Source organism: Homo sapiens, chromosome 1, assembly GCF_000001405.40.
Source record: "Homo sapiens chromosome 1, GRCh38.p14 Primary Assembly".
In the NCBI taxonomy this organism is placed as follows: Eukaryota; Metazoa; Chordata; class Mammalia; order Primates; family Hominidae; genus Homo; species Homo sapiens.
This window is the reverse complement of record NC_000001.11, coordinates 233,622,420-233,641,636: the sequence shown is the minus strand read 5'-3', so window position 1 is coordinate 233,641,636 and position 19,217 is coordinate 233,622,420. Positions and strand designations below refer to the sequence as shown.

Below are 19,217 nucleotides of genomic sequence, written 5' to 3'. Positions count from 1 at the left end.
CACAGGAAGAAGGAATGGCAAGCCAGGAAGTGCCAACAGGACCCTGCCGTGTTAAGTGGGGATATAACACCCCATCCGCTTACTGCCAGACCTTACAGTGTGAGAACATTTACGTGTCCCTCCTATAAATTTAAGCCATTATAAATTGGGATTTTTGTTTACTGCAGCTGCAAGCAATCTTAATTGTACATCACTTGTATTACAATAATCAGTTTAGATGTTTCTCTAAGATACGAGCTGCTTGATTACTGAGTCTATCTGTATCTCTAACCCTGAAACCCTGGCATAGGGCTCTGCATGGAGCAAGCTTGTAGAAGCCTATGAAATTTGAGAGGACTCAAAATATAGAGGAAAGCAGCACTTTAATTAGAAGGTGGTGTGCTCTGGCTGAAGATTCTTCATTGTGACTCAGCCCTCCGACAGGCAGAAAGTAGAGTGAAAACACCTGGTGAGAGCCATACTCTAAGGACCTACAGAGTGTCCTACATAGAAAGTCTTCCGGCTTGTTTGTGCTTCCATTTATTTGCTGAAGAAACTTACCATCTCAGGATAAACTCACTAGATTTTAAGAGAGATGCCAATTTAGACCGACACCCTCGGGCATCGCCTATGAGAAAAGTAGAGCCTGTTGGCCAGGGACAGTGTGGCTCACACCTATAATCCCAGCACTCTGGGAGGCCAAGGCGGGTGGATCACCTGAGCTCAGGAGTTCAAGACCAGCCTGGCCAACATGGCAAAACCCCGTTTCTACTAAAAACACAACAATTAGTTGGGTGTGGTGGCACAAGGCTTTAATCTTAGCTACATGGGAGGCCGAGGCCTGAGAATCACTTGAACCTGGGAGGTGGAGGCTGTAGTGAGCTGAGATTGAGCTACTGCACTCCAGTCTGGCGACACAACGAGACCCTGTCTAAAAAAGAAAGAGAGAGAGAAAAGCAGAACCATAGCACAAGAGCCAGACCTGACCTTCATTCTCTACGTTATCCCAGAAAACCACTTCTTTTGGAACAATTTACAGGAGTACTTACTTAAGAGATTAAAAATACAAATGTAAAATGTTACCAAAGTTCCATCACAGGGAAATCAGTTCACATGAAAATGACTTTTGAAGTCAATTCACTTGATCATTAATATCTAACTATAATTAATTACTTCTAAGTCTGTTTTATCTTTCAATGGAGATGAAATTAGAATATAATGAGTCCGCTGAATTCAAGCTAATCAGTAGGTCAAAAGCAAGGTTAGGTTTCCTGAGAGTCCTTTAGAGTTCAGCAATAAGAATTCCAATTATTTCTTTATTACTTCACCTGCCCACCTGGCAATAAGTCAGTCTCGGCAGTTAAGTCCACACTGACACCAACACTGCATAATTGGTATTTCTTATAAATGTTTCCACGCCTTTTAGAAACTATCTATGGTGCAAAAAAAAAATTCTCAGAGGAATATGTTTCCAATTTATTCAAATGTTACCAAGAATATTTAACTCTTCAAACCAGGATTATTTGGTTTTCTCACTGCAGCTTCCCACACACCTGGTGGGATTCCAGTCTTTCTCATTTGGAGAAAAGAATTCTTACCTCAGACCTCTCTTCGGATGGAAAGCTTACAGTCCCCTTTGTAAATCCTCACTTGAAAAATGAGAATATTGAAGTAATAGCAACAACGCCTTTCCTCCTCAGCTTCTTTTCTATATGTCCCAATGCCCCAGACCACCAACTGCCCAGAGCAGGAAACAGGCATGGGAAGAGCCCCACAGAGGAGTCCCACCAGGTGTGTTCTGACGTGGCTCATGTGTAAGAAGGAACCAGCATTCAGGCACTCTGCAGGAAGGAGCTCTCCGGATAAATGCCAGGAGTACAAAAGCAAAAATGAGCAAACATGCAAACCACAATGCCACGTTCACGAGATGACCAATTGCCTCACAGTTGTGTGGTTTTCTTTGTTGTTTTTTTTGTAATTGAACAGCTTAAGAAGCATCAACTCTCTCCCTTATGATATTAACAAGAAAGAGAATCAAGTATTTGACACAAATATAGAAAGAATGTTCAATGCTTTGTCAGACGTTAGGATTCTTCTAGTTTAAATACTCTTGCCAGATAAATGAGAAGGACGCTTAGAAGTGAAAAAGAAGGTGCTGCTTATGGGAAAAATGGATTCAATTAGGCAACATAAAAGTCAGAAAATCAACCCTTCTCATATCTAATCAAAATACACAGGAATACACTTTGGTTCTGATATTCACATCCCTATGACATATCTACTATTTATCCAACTATTTGAAATGTTGCAGATTCTTCAAAGAAACACAGGACTAGATCCATGTTCTTGTCTTATGAAAAATATACTTGTAGAGTCAAAAAGCAAAGAACATTTAAAAATGCAAAACAGGATATTAGGGGCCAAATGAGTGGTTAAAAATATGCTATATAAGAAAGAAAAAGGAGAACAAGTACTGTGTGAGGTCAGTTAGCCCCTTCTTTGGACTTTGTCCTAATTCAGGATCATATGAGTGAAAAACTCAAGCCCTATATATTCATCTGTTTTTTGGGTGTGTTAGGACTGGAGCCCATCAGCCAGGACAAACCCACACATGGGTGCACAAATGTGGAGAGAAGACTTCCAAAGACTTGGATCAGAGGAACCTAATCATCCCTAGGCTTATTTTTTAATTTTCCCAAACAGTGAGTGTTATTTTTTTGTGGACATTTACCCCGAGGTAGTGGGAAACATGTAACTGCCACTTCCAGACATACACACTACCCCACAGAGCCAAATGTAGGAAGAACAAGCTGCTCAGCAGAATCATATGAGTTCCTCCCTTTCCAAAAATATTACTCTCTGGCATAAAACGTTTCCCTGCACATGGATGGCCTCACTTAGTCATCGAGCCCATGGATGCAGAGCTGGAGTGCTCATCACATGCTGTGTGTCCTCGGTTGGCTCCCCACAGCCCTGCACCTGTGCAATATGGCCACTCAGCCCCAAAAGGATGGCCCAGGGAGCCTCCTCAAGGGGAGGCCCTGAGGCTGGCGTCACCGTGGCCATCACTGCTCTGCAGCCTCCACAATCGGTCAACGATTTGCTTCACAAAGCTGCTGCAGAGCACAGTTTACCCTGCAGTGCTCCAGTCCAATCAGGCCTGGGGAAGAAAAACATTCTCCCTTCTGCAAAACCCTCATTTCTTGAGTTGACAATTTCATTCTTTTTTTTTTTTCTCTCTTTTTTAGGTATTGGTCATCAAAAAACAAGAGAAACAAGGAAAAGAGCCATTTTTAATTTTTAACTAATTTAATTTTTTCCATTTAAAATTTTAAAAAATTAATTATTTTTTTCCTGATAAAACCATCAGACCCTTCTTTGTGGGACCTCAGGAAAGAGCTTCAGGTGGGCTCACTGTCCAGGGCAGGAATACTGGAGTCAGGGGAAGAAGGAGCACCCAGGCCTCCCGGTTTTAAGGATCTCACATCAGACACTTACTTGGCTTTGTTTGTACCACTTAAGACATATAAGCTAACAAAGGTGAATAGCCACACCAGTATTTTACTAACTGTTATAATCAATGCCCCCTTTGGATAAACAACATAACAAAAATAAATATAACAGAAGCAGGAGAGGACAACCCTGTGTTTTTTTTTTTCATTTTTCCACAGCCCACGACATTGTCAAGCATTCATTTCTATAAATTGCATGATAAATAGTAAATATTAAATATACTACTGAGTCTTCAAATTGCCTATCCCTCTCCCTCCACAACCCATTGAGAATCACTGGTCTTAAGGGTTTTAAATATTGAGTCTATTCAGCCCAGTGAATAGAACCATTTAAAACGTAAAATGAGTTTCTTGCTCCTCCAATGATTGAATTGGGTTTGCTCTCAATCCTGAGGTTCCCAAAACGACATTACATTCCAACACTACATTGCACCAGAAAGCAGAATTCCAATCTGTAGGTTTTACACAGATGCAAACCTCATCACTGGTCACGTCATTGGAAGACACCAGAGTCATAAAATCTTCCATCAAAAGGCTGGTCATTCCGTCTTTAAGAAAAGATAAACTTGCATTGCCAAATGGAAAATTTTAATTTGAAGGAGCTGAGAGTCTAGCTTGAAAGAAAGGATGGTGAAAATTGAGAGATAGGCAGAAAAATTGGTATGTATATTGGTGAGTTTTTAAAAGTCCTTTGTTTCTAATTTTCCTTACCTTCTCACCTTACTGAAGAAATGGATGCCAACTGACATGAGCTCTTCTAAAAACCCACCAGCACATCTCCCATCCATAAAAATGACCTCAGTCTTCTGCTTCTGATGCCAGCTCGCTTCCTGGGTATGGGGTCTTAGCCCCATTCACCTGCTCAAAAACACAGCCCAGTGAACCTGCCTTGTTTCCATAACCATTACTGCTCTTCCATGTCACCATCTTTTTTTTTTTTTTTTTTTTTTGAAACAGAGTCTCACTCTGTCGCCCAGGCTGGAGTGCAGTGGCACGATCTTGGCTCACTACAACCTCCGCCTCCTGGGTTCACGCCATTCTCCTGCCTCAGCCTCCCAAGTAGCTGGGACTACAGGTGCCCGCCACCACTCCCTGCTAATTTTTTGAATTTTTAGGAGAGATGGGGTTTCACCATGTTAGCCAGGATGGTCTTGATCTCCTGACCTCATGATCCTCCCGCCATGGCCTCCCAAAGTGCTGGGATTACAGGCGTGAGCCACCACACCTGGCCCCATCTCACCATCTTAAACACCATCTCTTGATCCTCCACTTCCCTGCCACCTACTGCCCATTCTCCTGTGCCCCTTTGCAGGACAACATGTAGAAACCATGATCCCCCTGCTGCCTTCAATGCCTCTCCACCTCTCTCGTGATCCCTTGTCCTAGAGGGATCACCTGTTTTTCCTATGACATCACTAACCACCCCCCAGTCTTGTGATCCGATTCCTCCCTGTTCAGATATCTAATGTGAGGGAGACCAGACCCACACACCCAACTTCTTCCTCTGCATCTCCACTTGGCCATCACACAGGCATCTAAACTTAACAGATCCACAGCTGAGCACCTGGATTTTTTTCACCACCTCCCAACTTGGCTCTACTGGGGTTTAGCTCTTCTCAGTCAGTGGCACCTTCTTCTCACTGTTGCTCAAGCCAAAATCCTGCAGCCTCACTTATCTCTTGTTCTCTCTTTCACTCATTTCCAATCCACCAGCAAATCTTACTAGCTCTACCATTGAATGACATTCAGAATCCACCAACTCTCACTCTCCTGCTGTAGCCCAAGCCACGGAGATCTCTCTGAGGATTACAGTAATAGCTTCCCAGCTGGTCTCCCTGATCGGCCCCAGCCTCCCATAAACAGGAGCCACAGCAACCCTAAGAAAACAAGGATATCATGTTACTCCTCAACTTCACTCAACTAGGATATCATGTTACTCCTCAACTTCACTTGCTTACAACAAAACCTAACATCCTTATCAGGGCCCATAAGGTCCTACATGATCTGACTCCACTACTTCCCTAATCTCATCTGCTACGACTCCCCACTGTTTATTCAGCTCCAGCCACACTGGCCTCTTAGCTCGATACTAGGTATACTCCTGGCTCAGGGCCTTTGCACGTGGCTGCCCGCATGGCCTGAATGGTCTTTCCCCTATTATGCAGAGCTGGCTTACTCACCAACTTCAGGTCGCCTACTCAGAGAAGCCTACCCAAGTCACTGTATATAAAATATCAACGTTCTCTTCAATGCAAACCTTATATCACCTTTCAATGCTTTATTGTATTTTTTCTTAACACTTATTTTATGTAAAATATTTTATGCTTTATTTATTTATATTATTGTCATTCTTGCCTTCTGAAATAGATATTACATAGCAGGAATTTTAGTCTGTTGTTCCCTGATGTTCCTCAGCATCTAAAAACATGCCTGGCACACAGTAGGTGCCCCCAAAATATTTTGCCCAAGTATGAATAAATGGATCAGCAAATGATTGAATAAATTTCATTCGGCAAAAGCAAATTCATAGCTTAGTTTTTAACAAAAAAAAATTATTGGCTTATGGCTTATTAACATGTTATTAATCAAATCATATATAAAGAAGTATTATAATTTGAAATAAAAAATATATATAGTCGTGATGCCCTACTGGCTTAAAGCTTCCATTTTTACTCAACAATTCAAAAGCATGAAAAGCAACAAAAATGTTATGATCTTGGAGGCAGATTCCAGGTTGCCTTTAGACAAAGACTATCTGTTGTTTATTACCATATTTCAAGCCTAGCAGAGACAGGCTCACAGTGGAACTCAAAATATATGTGTGACCTGAATAAACACTAAATATGGCTTTTATTTTCTAGCGAAATATCATTATTTATTGTGCTTTTCTGTGTTGACTATACCCTCAGGGATATTCCCCATCCAACCAAGTACATACATAAAACATTTATATAAAAAAGATGATAATTTTTCCTTTCACAAATTGATAACTGCTGTTAACACAATCTTAAAGTAGTTTCTAAAAGAAAAAAAACACTTGGATATTTACCTGTTTTGGCTATTAGGAGAATTCTGTTTTAAAGAATTGGCCTAAGCGGTCCATAGGTTGGACTAGAGAATTATTTATAAGTAAACACTCTTCTTTCTTTTGGAGCTGGGCCAAGGAGTAGAAGCCTGAGTACGAGTGAGGGTTATAATATATATCAATTTAACTTGGAAAAGAAACACTTATTTCTTTGATGAAGTGTTCTGTCTGGACATAATGACCACTTCATACTCATATGCCTCAGCAGGACATACTGGCAAATTGAAAAACTTAATCAGGCTTCTGTCTGCTCCCAACAGATGATCTTGCTTTTCCTTCAGCTTTTCATTAAGTGATTCTAAGGAAGTGTAAATGCATGAGCATTAGCAACAGAAGTTTCCCTAGTGACCCTTATTACTAAAGAATAACCAGGGCACTTAATAAAGCTAAAGTCACTGTTGCAGAGCATCTGGTGGGCATAACAATCCCATGAGCCCTGCTTTGCTAAAAACTCTGCCTTCAGCCTCGTTGACTCTCTCCAACAGCCTCCATCCGGGACTGTCTGAGCACCTGGGTTTGAGTACCTGTACTGCCACTTCCAACTGCTGCACATTAAGCAGCCATTTATTGATACATTTTCTGGCCTCAGATTTCACATCTGAGAAACAGGAGTCATTAGTGTCTGCCCTGTTGTCCGCACATAAACATTTTAACTACCAAGAGAAGTGAAGTTTGTGAAAGCAGTTTAAGAACCTGAAAAGCTATACCAAAATGTATTTTCTTTTTCTTTTTTTTTTTTTTTGTTGTTGTTGTTGTTGAGACAGAGTAGCTCTGTTACCCAGGCTGGAGTGCAGTGGCGAGATCTCAGTTCACTTCAACCTCCGCCTCCTGGGTTCAAGCAATTCTCCTGCCTCAGCCTCCCAAGTAGCTGGGATTACAGGCACCCTCCACCACACCCAGCTAATTTTTGTATTTTTAGTAGAGACAGGGTTTCACTGTGTTGGCCAGGCTGGTCTCAAACTCCTGACCTTGTGATTCGCCCGCCTCGGCCTCCCAAAGTGCTGGGATTACAAGTGTAAGCCACTGCGCCCGGCCCAAAATGTAAATATTCTTATTGTGTGTGTCTATTTCTCATAGTCCCCTTCTCATCGTAGTCATTGCCAAGCACATGTCTTCACAATTTTTTTGTACCCAGCTATTAATAAATGAATACACTACTGCTGTGTTGCGGATGTGTGACTATGTTAATTTCACTCCCTCATGCTAGAGGCTAATGTTAGGGTTTTCCCCTAACACCTACCATTAACGAGGCTTAATGTTTTCTTCTTAAATCATGGGCTGTTTGTATCTCTTCCTTTAAAATCCTCTCTTCCAAGCCCAAACAACAACCAAAAACTATCCCTCCTAAAATGAAAAAAACATGGAATTTTAGACACTGGAAACTGCAATACTAAAGCTTGTGTCCTTTTCAGAGTTTTCCTAAACACTAAATAAATTTAGTATTTTACAGGGCATTAATCAAGATTTTAGACAAATTAGCACCATGACTTTATTTTTCTAGAGAGATAGGCCTATTTGATAATAGGACTTCAAATTTCACCTTACAGAATTGGTGGTTTAGGAGTGTAATGAAATCACATATTCTCAGATTCAAGAATATCCCTTGAATCCTTCAGAAAAACAAACATTAAGTTCATTGGGCTATCATCATTTCCCAAGGACATTATGTTAATCTAGCTTATTTTAACATGATAACCTACATGAAAATGCTCTGCAGAAGAATCCTATAATACATACTCCAATGGAGCTTTCTTCTAAAAATGTGGTGTGGTTTTTTTTGTTTGTTTGTTTGTTTACATACTTTGACAATTTCATACCTGTCAGAAGAAGGCAAATGGCAAATCCATCTAGTATGGGATAGATTTCTCAGGGTCACAAAAGAAACCAGTATTGCTTGTAACCTCCTCTTCTCCACCCCATGTTTCTCCAGGCTCTCATTGCTATTTTCATATGATTCACTCACTAAAAATCAACACAGTTATCATTGAAATGGCAGACAGAAGCAAACCCAAGTCAACAAAAATGAACCTCGTCTTTGTAAAGGCCAAGGAGGAAGATCTGGTTGGGAGCTGCAGGCAGACACAAGACACTGAGAAAACAGGTTTCAAAACATTTCTGAGAATAGAGAGGATGCTCTCCTTCCGAATGTCTTTACATGAAAAGACTGCCTAAGAGATGGGATGCCCCAAAAAACTAAGTCCTGAGAGCTGAACTGCTAATGAACCTGATGAGGGAGAACAGCAGGAGGACAAAGAAAGCAGAGTTGCCAGTCAGGAAGGTGCACACTGGGCTCCTTCTGAAAAGAGGCCCAAACCCACGATCCTCAGGAAGAAAAGCCAGGACCTCTAAGACCAGTGAGTGGACAGCAGAAGCACCAATGCAGGGAAGGACAAAAAAGTCACATCCAGTGTGCAGCACACACTATGTGGTCACCGAGTGGTAGCCATTACTGGAATCACTGAACCAGAGCCCCTTGTGAAGCCCACACAACAGAGATCAAACCACCACCAGGACAGCCAGCAGCAGCATCTACATTGAATCCTGACAAGAACTGTTGGCAGCTTAAGAAAAAAAGAAAGAAAGAAATCCAGTCCCGGTAAGGTTATAAAAAAATGAACCCTGAGGTTCATTAGTTCATTAACTGACCTTACCATCCTATCTGGTCAAAATTACTAATAAAATATTCTCCTTGCTCTATCCAGTAATTTGGTTGCTTGCATGTCAAAACTTATTAGCTTCAAATTAGAGCTCACATTTTTAGGGAGAAAAAAAAGAGTAGAAAACAGAGCAACGATGTTAAAGTGAATTCATGCAGAACCTGTCATCAAAGAAATCATTAACTTAAGCAGCAGCCTGTGGGAATAAAATGAGAGAGTTCCCTGAGCTGAGTGGACAGAGCACATATTAGCCCATGATAAGAAGCTTTTCAGCCAAATGTCCTATTCCCACTTAGCAGAAGACAACGCAATGTTTTCCTGTTCCAGTAAGCACAGCAGCACGCACGTGGAAGAGGGAACAGGATGGGTAAATTTTGTCATGGCATCTTGGGCAACTGCTGTCCAACTGACTTCCAGGGCTACAGCCAGGCTGAACTATGAGACCTCTGTCAAGCCTAATGCAGTGGTTCCCTCTGTTCGAGCCAAAGAGGACCAACCTAGAAGACAGTCTCAATCAGGGACATTTCCGGATGAAACTCCTCCCTCTACCTCTGCATTTAATGGGAAAAGGAGAATTACTTGCTTAAAAAAAACCAGAATCTATCAGCATGTAATCAGACCCAGCATAGGAACAAGGCTAATGTGTGAAAACAGTGAGCACATTTCTTTAGGAACACACAGCTAAATTCTAGCTCAGCCTCACTGCACAGATGAGGAAATGAGTGGAGAATGGAAACACTTAAAAATAAATGAATTGTCTTACTGTGTACCCTGACACACGCCACATTTTTAGACTTGCAGAGTAGAGATGATGAGTGAGGGTAGGGTAACTTTAGTGCACTCTTAGAAGGCTGTTTTCAAAACCATAATGTCTACAAGCAGGGAGAAATTCAGTTAGATTAATGGCAAGCTCACCTATTGCACATTCTTCAAGATACCAGGGCACAAACGGGAATGAACATTTTCTGCTTTTGAGCTGATAACCGTTGAGCTTAAAATCCTATCATTAAAGAGAAACACAAAGAAGCAGGCCTAATTAAATTCTGTGTCTCAGGGCAGTGATTCCCATTCTTCCCCAACAGTTAAACACACATTAGGGGTTCAGTGAGTGACAACCTTTCATATCTTGATGTTGTCAGAAACCCGCACCTGGTGGCAAAGGGAAACACAATGATAATCGGTCACCATCACGCCTATTTGAGTTAGCAGTTACCACGTAGGTATAAATAAAATAGACTGTGGATGATGGACAATTCTGAGAGCCAGAGATGAGGCACGGTCTTTTCCTTGTCAGAACATGTAAGAACAGAAGTAAGGGTGACATTATTATAGGGCTCATATTCAACCTACTATAATTGTTTTAAGTAGCTCTTTTGGAAATGCTAATATCTACCTCTCTCTTTTGCTGCAAACAAGCTATGTATCAAGTTTCTATGGTGCTCTCACTGCTCTGAAAGTGCACTTGACCAAGGTGACCTGGAGAGGTAGCATGTCTGACGTTGACATTTACCAGAGTGGACCCTCAGAGGTTAGATGACAGGTTATCAAGAGATTGAAAGTCTCATCAACCTGGTTTTGCTTTTCAAACATTTCCACATACCTGTGTATCTCCAGACTTGGGCATGAGTGTGGAAATGACTTGGCTAAAAGAATCACCTGCGCACATGTAGATTCAACATGGGACCTACTTCTTGAGTTCACAGCTTCTAAATAAAGTAACAAGAAGGAAAAGAAGACTTCGCAAGTGTGATTCTGTGCGTAGTTAAAAAAAATTCCTATCTGATGAGGAAGAAAACAGAACCAAAGGTCTGCACTTCTGAGCATTTCTGAGTTTTCATACAGTAGTTCTGTCATCCCAACTTCCTTGTCAAGAACAGACTTGTAATATTGGGAGCCCTAGAGCAAAAATGAAAATATTAAGAGATTAAAGAGAAGCCAGATATCCTTAATCTGAGGCCAATGTACCAAGAAGTTATCTTGAACAATTACAAAATGCAAAGCATTGTACAAAATGCAAAGAATGCCTGTTTCTTTTAAAGATGAGAGTAAACTAAAGCTTAGTTAAGTTACAACTCAGTGACGTAGGAACTGAACTGAAGTTGGGGTTTTGCTCTGACAAAAAATAATTTATTTAAAGCCAATTAACAGTATAAACACGATTGCAGCAACTACTCAAACGCTTCCAAAACTACTTAGAAGTACCCATTTGTAACTAACTGACACAGTAATTACAAGCAGCATCCTACAGGTACACCCTTGAGAGGTTACTCATCATTTTACGGCTGAATCCATGAGAATTCAGATGGTGGAACCAGCTCCCATTGCCCACCTCTCAGAAGAACACCTGATGTCTGGGGTCAGGCCGGCCCACACAGGTATCAGGAGGTGAAGAGACACAGAACTGGGGTTGTTCCCTTCTATATCCCCTGCCACATACACATCCAGAAAAAACTTATATTCCTACGTACAGCAACAACTTCGCTACTCACCCAGGCTTTCTAGTCGGGTTTGGGTTGTGAAATTCTTGGTGCGGCCGTCCAGGGCCGTCTCCCTCTTCCCGCCGTGCCCCAGAACCAATGAGTTTCCATTTATGTCCACCTAGGAGCTGTCCATGACAAGCTCCGCCCATGGTTTTCCTTCATCCCTGCGACTACGGAGCATCACACCCTGGCGGTCCTCTGGTCAGTGCAATCTCTTCTTCCGTGCTTGTGTTTGAATGACTGAGAAAGCTAGGCACTCTGTTGCCTAACTCCGGCTTTCCCTGTTTTAAGCCAGGTTGCAGGACAGGCTATTTATCACGGTGCAGGACCAGGAGCCCACAGAGGCTCCCCATTTTCTACTGACTCAAGTGCCAGATCTGCTTCCCACGTCTCACCTCCACCTTCAGTGCCTGTCGCCTGCTGCTGTGTGCCAGCAGGGAGCTTTGGCTCTGAGAGGCTGGCACCCTCACGGTCTCTCTAAGGCAAGGCTGCCTTCCACTTCTGGATGGGTGTGCTGAGTATATGTCCCTTTCCTTAACAACCCTCTTCCCCGGCCCACTCTACCTAACCTTACCATACTGCCTGTTTATCTCAGTGCGCCTACTCCATAAAGCTTCCCTGACCACTTCAGCCATCTCCCTATCAAAGTCCTACAGATGTTACCCACTTACCCAATTACCCAATTACCATGGGGTCCCATACAATTCAACAGTTAGGTCTCTACACCCTATGCAGCTTTCTGGGACTTTGATGTTTCAGTCGAGTCTCCCCAGCTGGCTGTGGGCTTTTATATTTCAGTGATTATCCCTTTACAGTATTTTTTAATGCATCCCCACATGTTGGGATGTACTCAGTAAATATTCCAAAGACCTAGGATTATAAAATGTTAGAGTTAGAAGGGGGTCTTACTTAGCCTTTTCATTGTATAGCTGAAGCAACCGAAATCTAGAGAAATCCACAATGAATTCTTGTCTGAAGAGAACCCAGGCCACCAATCCCCAGTTCAACGCTTTCACACTTCCAATCCGCACATTCACTTCAGTCTATGTAAGGTCATTCAGTATCTCTGAACATAAACATTTTCCCTAAAAATAATTCATGATTCTCACTTTTCACTACATTAGGTTGGGCTTTTAAAATTTATTATTATTATTATTATTATTTGAGACAGAGTCTTGCTCTGTTGCCCAGGCTTGGAGTGCAGTGGTACAATCTCAGTTCACTGCAAACTCTGCCTCCCAAGTTCAAGCAATTCTCCACCTCAGCCTCCCAAGTAGCTGGGATTACAGGCACCCACCACCACGCCTGGCTAATTTTTGAATTTTAGTAGAGATGAGGGTTTCACCATGTTGGCCAGACTGGTCTCGAACTCCTGAGCTCAGGTGATCTGCCCACCTCGGCCTCCCAAAGTACTGGGATTCCAGGCGTGAGCCACCACATCCGGCCGACTTTTTAAATTGTTACAATTCTTTTGTACTTTAGGTTCGGGGGTACGTGTGCAGGTGTGTTACTTGGGTATGTTGCATAATGGTGAGGCTTGGGCTTCTCATGAACTCATCACTCAAATAGTGAACATAGTATCCAATGGGTAGTTTCTGGACCCTGGCCCTCCTTCCATCCTTCCCTCTTCTGGATTCTCCAATACCTACTGTTTCCATCTTCGAGGTTGGACTTTTCAATAGTATTCATTCAGCCTGATATCACCGATGACAATTTGATTTGCCAGCTCCATTCCCCAAGCCAGTGATGGTTATGAGGGAATGCTCCCGTGAGATGGCACCACCCTTAGCTGAGCTTGTGTAGAGACTGGGACACTGAAGACAGGCAGAAGAAATTCTGAGGGCACACATACTCCACTGCCACTGGGTCAATGAGACACAGCCCAGACATCTGGGTAGAGATGACTAACACAAGTCAACGCACAAAACATAGTTCTGAGTGAAGCGAAACAGAGAATCTAGACAGGCAAGTTCAGGTGCCAAACATATCCTTTTAGCCTCATTCAGATTACAAATAACTCTGGTGTTCCACCAGAGTTGCTGAAAGAGCAAATATTGCTTTAGGTCACATCCCATCAACTACTAACAGAAATTTGCTTTTTTGTGCTCCCCAACTTTCTTAAAATTTTAGTTTTTTTTCCTTATTCCATCTTGGTTGGTTGGATTTTCAAACATCAGCTGCTCTGCAGTGGAGGGGAGGGTGAGATGGGAGTAGCAGTGGATGACAGATTGTGGATCCACACAACAGTGCTCTTCCCTGCTGTCTGGGGGTGCGAAACGGCTCAGCTCATCCGCACCCGCCCACCCTCCCACTGCGAGGTGCATCTGCTGGAGCTGGCCCGTGGGCGACAGACTGTTTTTCTGAGATGGCTCGTGTCAGAGCACTGGGTGGCAGGTAGGTAGCGATGTGGGCGCTTTGCTACTCAGAATTTCTGAGTCAGAATTTCTGAGTCAGTCTGACACCTAGGCAGCTGCGGAACAGCCTCTCCAGGTTCTTTAATTAACTTAATCCATCTAACCATGGTTTTTAAATAATTAAGTGCCTTGGTAACCCGTGTTCAAACATTTGAAGAATGTGAGTTACAACCATATTTTAACCTTTTAATTCTAGTTTAAAACACTTTATTTCCCTTCCTGTTATTTACAAGCTGTGGCTTCATAAAAAATACAGTATTTGAGGGAAATAAAGAAGATGTTTAGATGATCAATAATGAGCAAGGAGCCAGCCCTGTTATACTCATGGGATCATTTCAAACAGTAAAGCAACAATGCAGTAAAAATGAAAATCACTCAGGTGTTTTTCTGAGAGTCACATGAAAATCCTCCCATCAGTACAAACTGTAAAAATCGTCAATGTGTTTATTTGAACCTGACACACTCCTAAAATGTTTAGATTGTTTGTGAAAAAAAAAATCATGTTTTACTTACTTACTTCCTAAAAACAGAAACCACCTAGATTCATTCCTTGGTGGCTTTATTTAATATTAGCTACTCCTTAAAAGAGTACTGGAGATATTTATTTATTCTTTGAATTATATAAAATATAATTTTTATTAAACGATTATATCAAATACTAAATATCCTACTGTTAATTTTAAGAAAATATGAAGCAAATACTTCATTTGGGGGCTTTCTCTACAGTTTCCCAAACAACCTTTTGTAATATTAAATTAGAAAACAATATTACAGTTTAGGTACTCTTTCTTAGCCTGGAAGTATTTAACGCTGTTGTTAAATGTATTCATTAAATGGCAGATCAGCCCAGGGAACTCACATTCTCAGTCTGAATGACCTCTTCTTTCTTTTCTACTTACTGACATTCTAGTTTTCCTTCAAGGTCAAAATCAGATATCACCCCCAAAAGCCTTCTTCAGCCTCTGCAGTGAGTTAATCGATGTGTGTGATACAACATGACATCACGGCATGCTGTACCAACAGAAGGCACTGTCACCTACACTCCGAGTGTGGCCCTCATCACGCCCCATTAGGGTTTACTGTGTGCCTTGTGTAGATAGATCCTCCTGGACACCCAAAAGGGATCTCAAGTTCAGCAGGTTCTGGAACCTGCTTGAGATTCTTTATCCAACACCTTCTCCTTCCATGGCCTTCCTTTGGTCTGTAAAGAAGAACCACATTGCCAGGGGCTCAGGTCAGAAACCCGGGGGTCATTCTTCACTCTTCTTTCTTTTACCCCTCACATCCAATCCATCAGCAAAGCCAGATGGTTTGGCCAACAATATGAATCCAGAATCTGACCACTTCTCATCACCACTTTTCTGAGTCACCGAGAGGCATCGGTGGTCCGATGACCCCCTGGGTCATCAGAAGAGCCTCCTTTTAGTCTCAGCCTCAGCCTTGCCCTCCTACACCAGCCAGAGTGAACGCGTTGGAACAGTCAGTCAGATTGTGTCAACCCTTTGCTCAAAATCTCCTGGTGCTTTTCCCCTAGCTCAGATAAAAGCCAGATGTTTTGCAGTGGCCTAGGACATCCTACAGCATCTGCTCCCTCCCCTTCTTCCTGACCTCATCACTCCCCTCTTACTCAGCTCCAGCCACAGTCACTTTCTAGCTGCACCTCCAATAGGTGCCTTTGTTCTGGAACACAGCTCCCCAGAAAACTGCATAAGGCACTCCCCACCTCCTCTCACTCTTTACGTAAGTGCCATCTTCTCAGTAAGGCTTTCACGGGCAACTTTATGGAAGACTACGATCCTGGACTCTGCCCCCTTCACCATACACTAATCACACACTCCCCATCTCCTTTGCTCTGCATTGTTGTTCCTGAGCACCTATCACCACCTAACATCCTGTGCATTTCCCTTAGTTATCTCTTTGTTCATGCTGGAGCTCAGAAAATGATAACCCAAAATCAAGGTCCCAGAAGCAAAAGTTTTTCTCCGACCTTCTCCTGCCCTCCTATCTCTCACCCCTCATCCTCCCCCAGGCTAGCCATAAAATCTGGAATACCTCTTCCCCAAGGTGGATCCTAGAGACCAGAACCCCATTTCCCCAAAGCCAGCCATAAAACCATAAAACTTTTCCTCCACCTTTCTATGTAAAACTGGCCAATGAAATTATATGACCCATCTTGTTTGACTGTAGGTCATAAGAATCCCCATTCCAGAGAGGGTGCTGCCCCACACCCAGAAGGAAGGAATACATGCTCAGAGAGGCCGAGAAGATTCCAGACAGGCCTTGCTGGGCTTCCCCGCTTGGTCTTATAAGATTTAGATCATTCCCTTTTGGTCCAATCCTATTTTTTACACACCTGTTTATACTTTGTTGAACCTAAGCATAAAAGTGAATGGTTTCCCCTGTGTTTTTGGGTCTTCATTCTGAAGGCTCCCATGTCACATAAACTATGGTCAAGCAACTGTATATGCCTTTTCTCCTATTAATCTGCCTTTTATCAGGTGATTTTCAGTGAAACTTCAGAGGGTGAAGGAGAAGTTTTCTCTTGGCCCCTACAATTGTATCTCCGATCCCAACCCAGACTGACACATCCAGGAGGGCAAAAGTGATTTTTGTGGTTTTGTTCCCTGACATATCCCTAAGTGCCTGGAGTAGCACCTAGTAACCAAAGTGCTCCACAAATACTCAGAGAGGAATGAATGCCTCTCTTCTCTTTATATCACTTAGGGCCTTTTGTGGTGCACCGAGTACACATGAGGCCCCCCAGATATCATTGTTTTTATATGAATAGCTTCAAAACCCATTTTGGCAATGCAGGCCTCTGTTTCCTCATCAAGAGAATAAAGTTATATCTAAGGTCTCTTGAATAGAAGTAACATCTTTAGAACCTTCTTCATTTTTCAGAAAAGGCACAGATTCAGACATATGAAGAAATGTGCCTTAAGTTGCTCCTTTTGAGCACCTGTTGAGTGCTAGGGATGCCAAGTGAGGCCAAGAGAGGTGCTATGGGAACCAGGTGCCAGGTGAGGCCAGGTGAAGACAGGTGAGGCCAGGTGAAGATAGGTGAGGCCAGGTGAAGACAGATGTTACGGGAACCAGCAGGTAGAAAGCTAAGTGCTGTGGAGAAAGAGCGGGAAGAAATGGAGGAGGTGTCTGGGACAACAGAACTTGAAAAGAACCTGCTTCTCAGTAGCCCCAAGTCCTGTGTGTGCCTGGCTCAGCGCATCCTGGGGAGCACACTTTCCTGGGATAGGGCACTTCTGCCGCCTCCCTCCTCAGTGCATACTTCCACCAAAGACTCTTCAGACTCTATTCAGACGAAATGATGAAACCATTGTCTAAATAAGCCCCAAGAGGCTTCAGTGAAGCAGAGTGAATAGGGAACTGGGGCATCGACTTGAGTAAATAGCTTAACTCAGGTCACAGAGCCCCCCACATAACAAGAGATGACCGTAAACAACTGGAGCCTCCAACTCCAACTCTATTGATCATACTCAGAGAAATGAAACCTAACATGTTTTACTCTCTCTAAATCCCTTAGAAACATTCTACCTGCTTTTGTTTTGTTTTTTGACTTGAATAGTTTCAGGTTTACTTTCTTTTTTTTAAAGAAAGCTTTTTTGGCAAGGTGCGGTGGCTCACGCTACCTGTAATCCCAGCACTTTGGGAGGCTGAGGTGGATCACCTGAGGCCAGGAGTTCAAGACCAGCATGGCAACCAACATGGCAAAACCCTGTCCCTACTAAAAATACAAAAGTTAGCCGGGCATGGTGGCATGCGCCTGTGGTCCCAGTTACTCAGGAGGCTGAGGCAGGAGAATCACTCGAACCTGGGAGGTGGAGGTTGCAGCGATCTGAGATCACGCCACTGCACTCCAGCCTGGGTGACAGAGCGAGACTCCGTCTCAATAACAAAAAACAAAAGGTTTCTTTCTTCTTTTTAAAACTGACACGTAATAATTTTACGTATTTATGAGGTACACAGTGATACCTCAATACACATAATGTACAGTGATCACATCAGGGTAATTACCATATCCATCATCTCAAATGTTTATCATTTCTTTGTGTTGGGAACATTTAATACCTTTCTTTTAGTGACTTGAAACTATATATTACTGTTAACTATAGTCATTCTACAGTGGTATAGACAACCAGAACTTATTCCTCCTATCTAGCTGTAATTTTGTATCCTGTAACAAATCTCTCCCCATCCCCCCTCCCCGTACCCTTCCCAGATGCTAGTATGCTCCATTTACTTTTCACTTCTATAAAGCCAACCTTTTTTTTTTCTTGCTAACCATTTCCATTTGTTTTCATTATCTTCCATTGTTTCTTTTTGAAAAGATAATCCCAGAAGTTAGTGCATTAGAAAAACTGTTTGAGATTAACTTTTTTTAGCTTCCACATATGGGTGAGAAAATGTTGTATTTAACACTCTGTGCCTGGCTTTCTGTCCTCTGAATGCATCAGCCATGATTTCACCGACTCTCTCTGAGTTCCCTGAGAGCTTTCTGCCTAAAGCCCTTCCATGGGTACTAATAACTGAGTCTCAGAGGCAGCAGCGGGCAGGCTTTTATTTCACAAAGTTGGTCAATCCCAGTCAGAGGAGCTAATGCAAAAAGTTAGACTCTGATCTGGGATCAAGCAGACGGTAGCAAATTAAAAACACTCCCATGTCTAACCTAAGCAAATTAATCTCATCAATATAACAATCAGCTGTTTTCCAAATTAAAGAAGGCAAACATGAAAACCAGTAGAAAGTCACAGATAAGCCCTTCTGATCTGACTCAAGTTCAAGGAGACAATCCCACAGTCCTTTCAGGTGCACAAACTCTACATCTCCAACTCCCTATTCTCTTTCTTCCTCCATTCAGCCTCAGATCGGGGGCATCACCTTGCAATATGCTGCTGACAGAGAGTGGGCCACCAACTTTGGGGATTGAACAAAAAATAAGGGATCCATGCAAAAGAAACAAAGAAAGTCAGAGTACAGACTGAGTCTAGGAGATAGAAGTATCACAGGAGTCAATAAAACACCTCAAAAGTTGCTTGCTTTCCAATAAAGTGACAACCTTTATCTCCTGCCTTGAA

General features: G+C 42.5%; 1 protein-coding gene and 1 non-coding gene across 3 annotated transcripts in view, besides 2 other annotated features; both read right to left on the bottom strand.

Moving 5' to 3' along the window:
- KCNK1 (potassium two pore domain channel subfamily K member 1) overlaps positions 1–19,217 on the bottom strand; it is a 58,409-nt gene that overhangs the window by 30,878 nt on the left and 8,314 nt on the right. The window contains exons 1-3 of one of the 2 annotated variants that reach the window (XM_011544184.3): positions 11,723–12,001; positions 10,834–11,129; positions 10,149–10,233 (exon numbers count right to left, since the gene is read on the bottom strand). The exons of the other annotated variant lie outside the window; for it this stretch is intronic. Coding sequence (XP_011542486.1) covers positions 10,149–10,233; positions 10,834–10,899 — 151 coding nt within the window. The 5' untranslated portion in view covers positions 10,900–11,129; positions 11,723–12,001. Of the gene's footprint in view, positions 1–10,148; positions 10,234–10,833; positions 11,130–11,722; positions 12,002–19,217 lie in introns of those variants that run through there. 2 annotated transcript variants of the gene reach the window in all.
- Positions 5,076–5,625: an enhancer, noted in NCBI's record as "OCT4-NANOG hESC enhancer chr1:233771758-233772307 (GRCh37/hg19 assembly coordinates)". NCBI's record gives its function as "activates a minimal SCP1, AML or CMV promoter by ChIP-STARR-seq in primed H9 embryonic stem cells {active_cell/tissue: H9 hESC(primed)}" and the evidence as "EXISTENCE:reporter gene assay evidence [ECO:0000049][PMID:30033119]".
- Positions 13,476–13,525: an enhancer, noted in NCBI's record as "active region_2744". NCBI's record gives its function as "activates an Ori minimal core promoter by ATAC-STARR-seq in GM12878 lymphoblastoid cells {active_cell/tissue: GM12878}" and the evidence as "EXISTENCE:reporter gene assay evidence [ECO:0000049][PMID:35858748]".
- On the bottom strand, positions 17,418–17,485 carry MIR4427 (microRNA 4427). Its single transcript, NR_039625.1, has one exon. It is a non-coding gene; the product is annotated as a microRNA 4427 (primary transcript).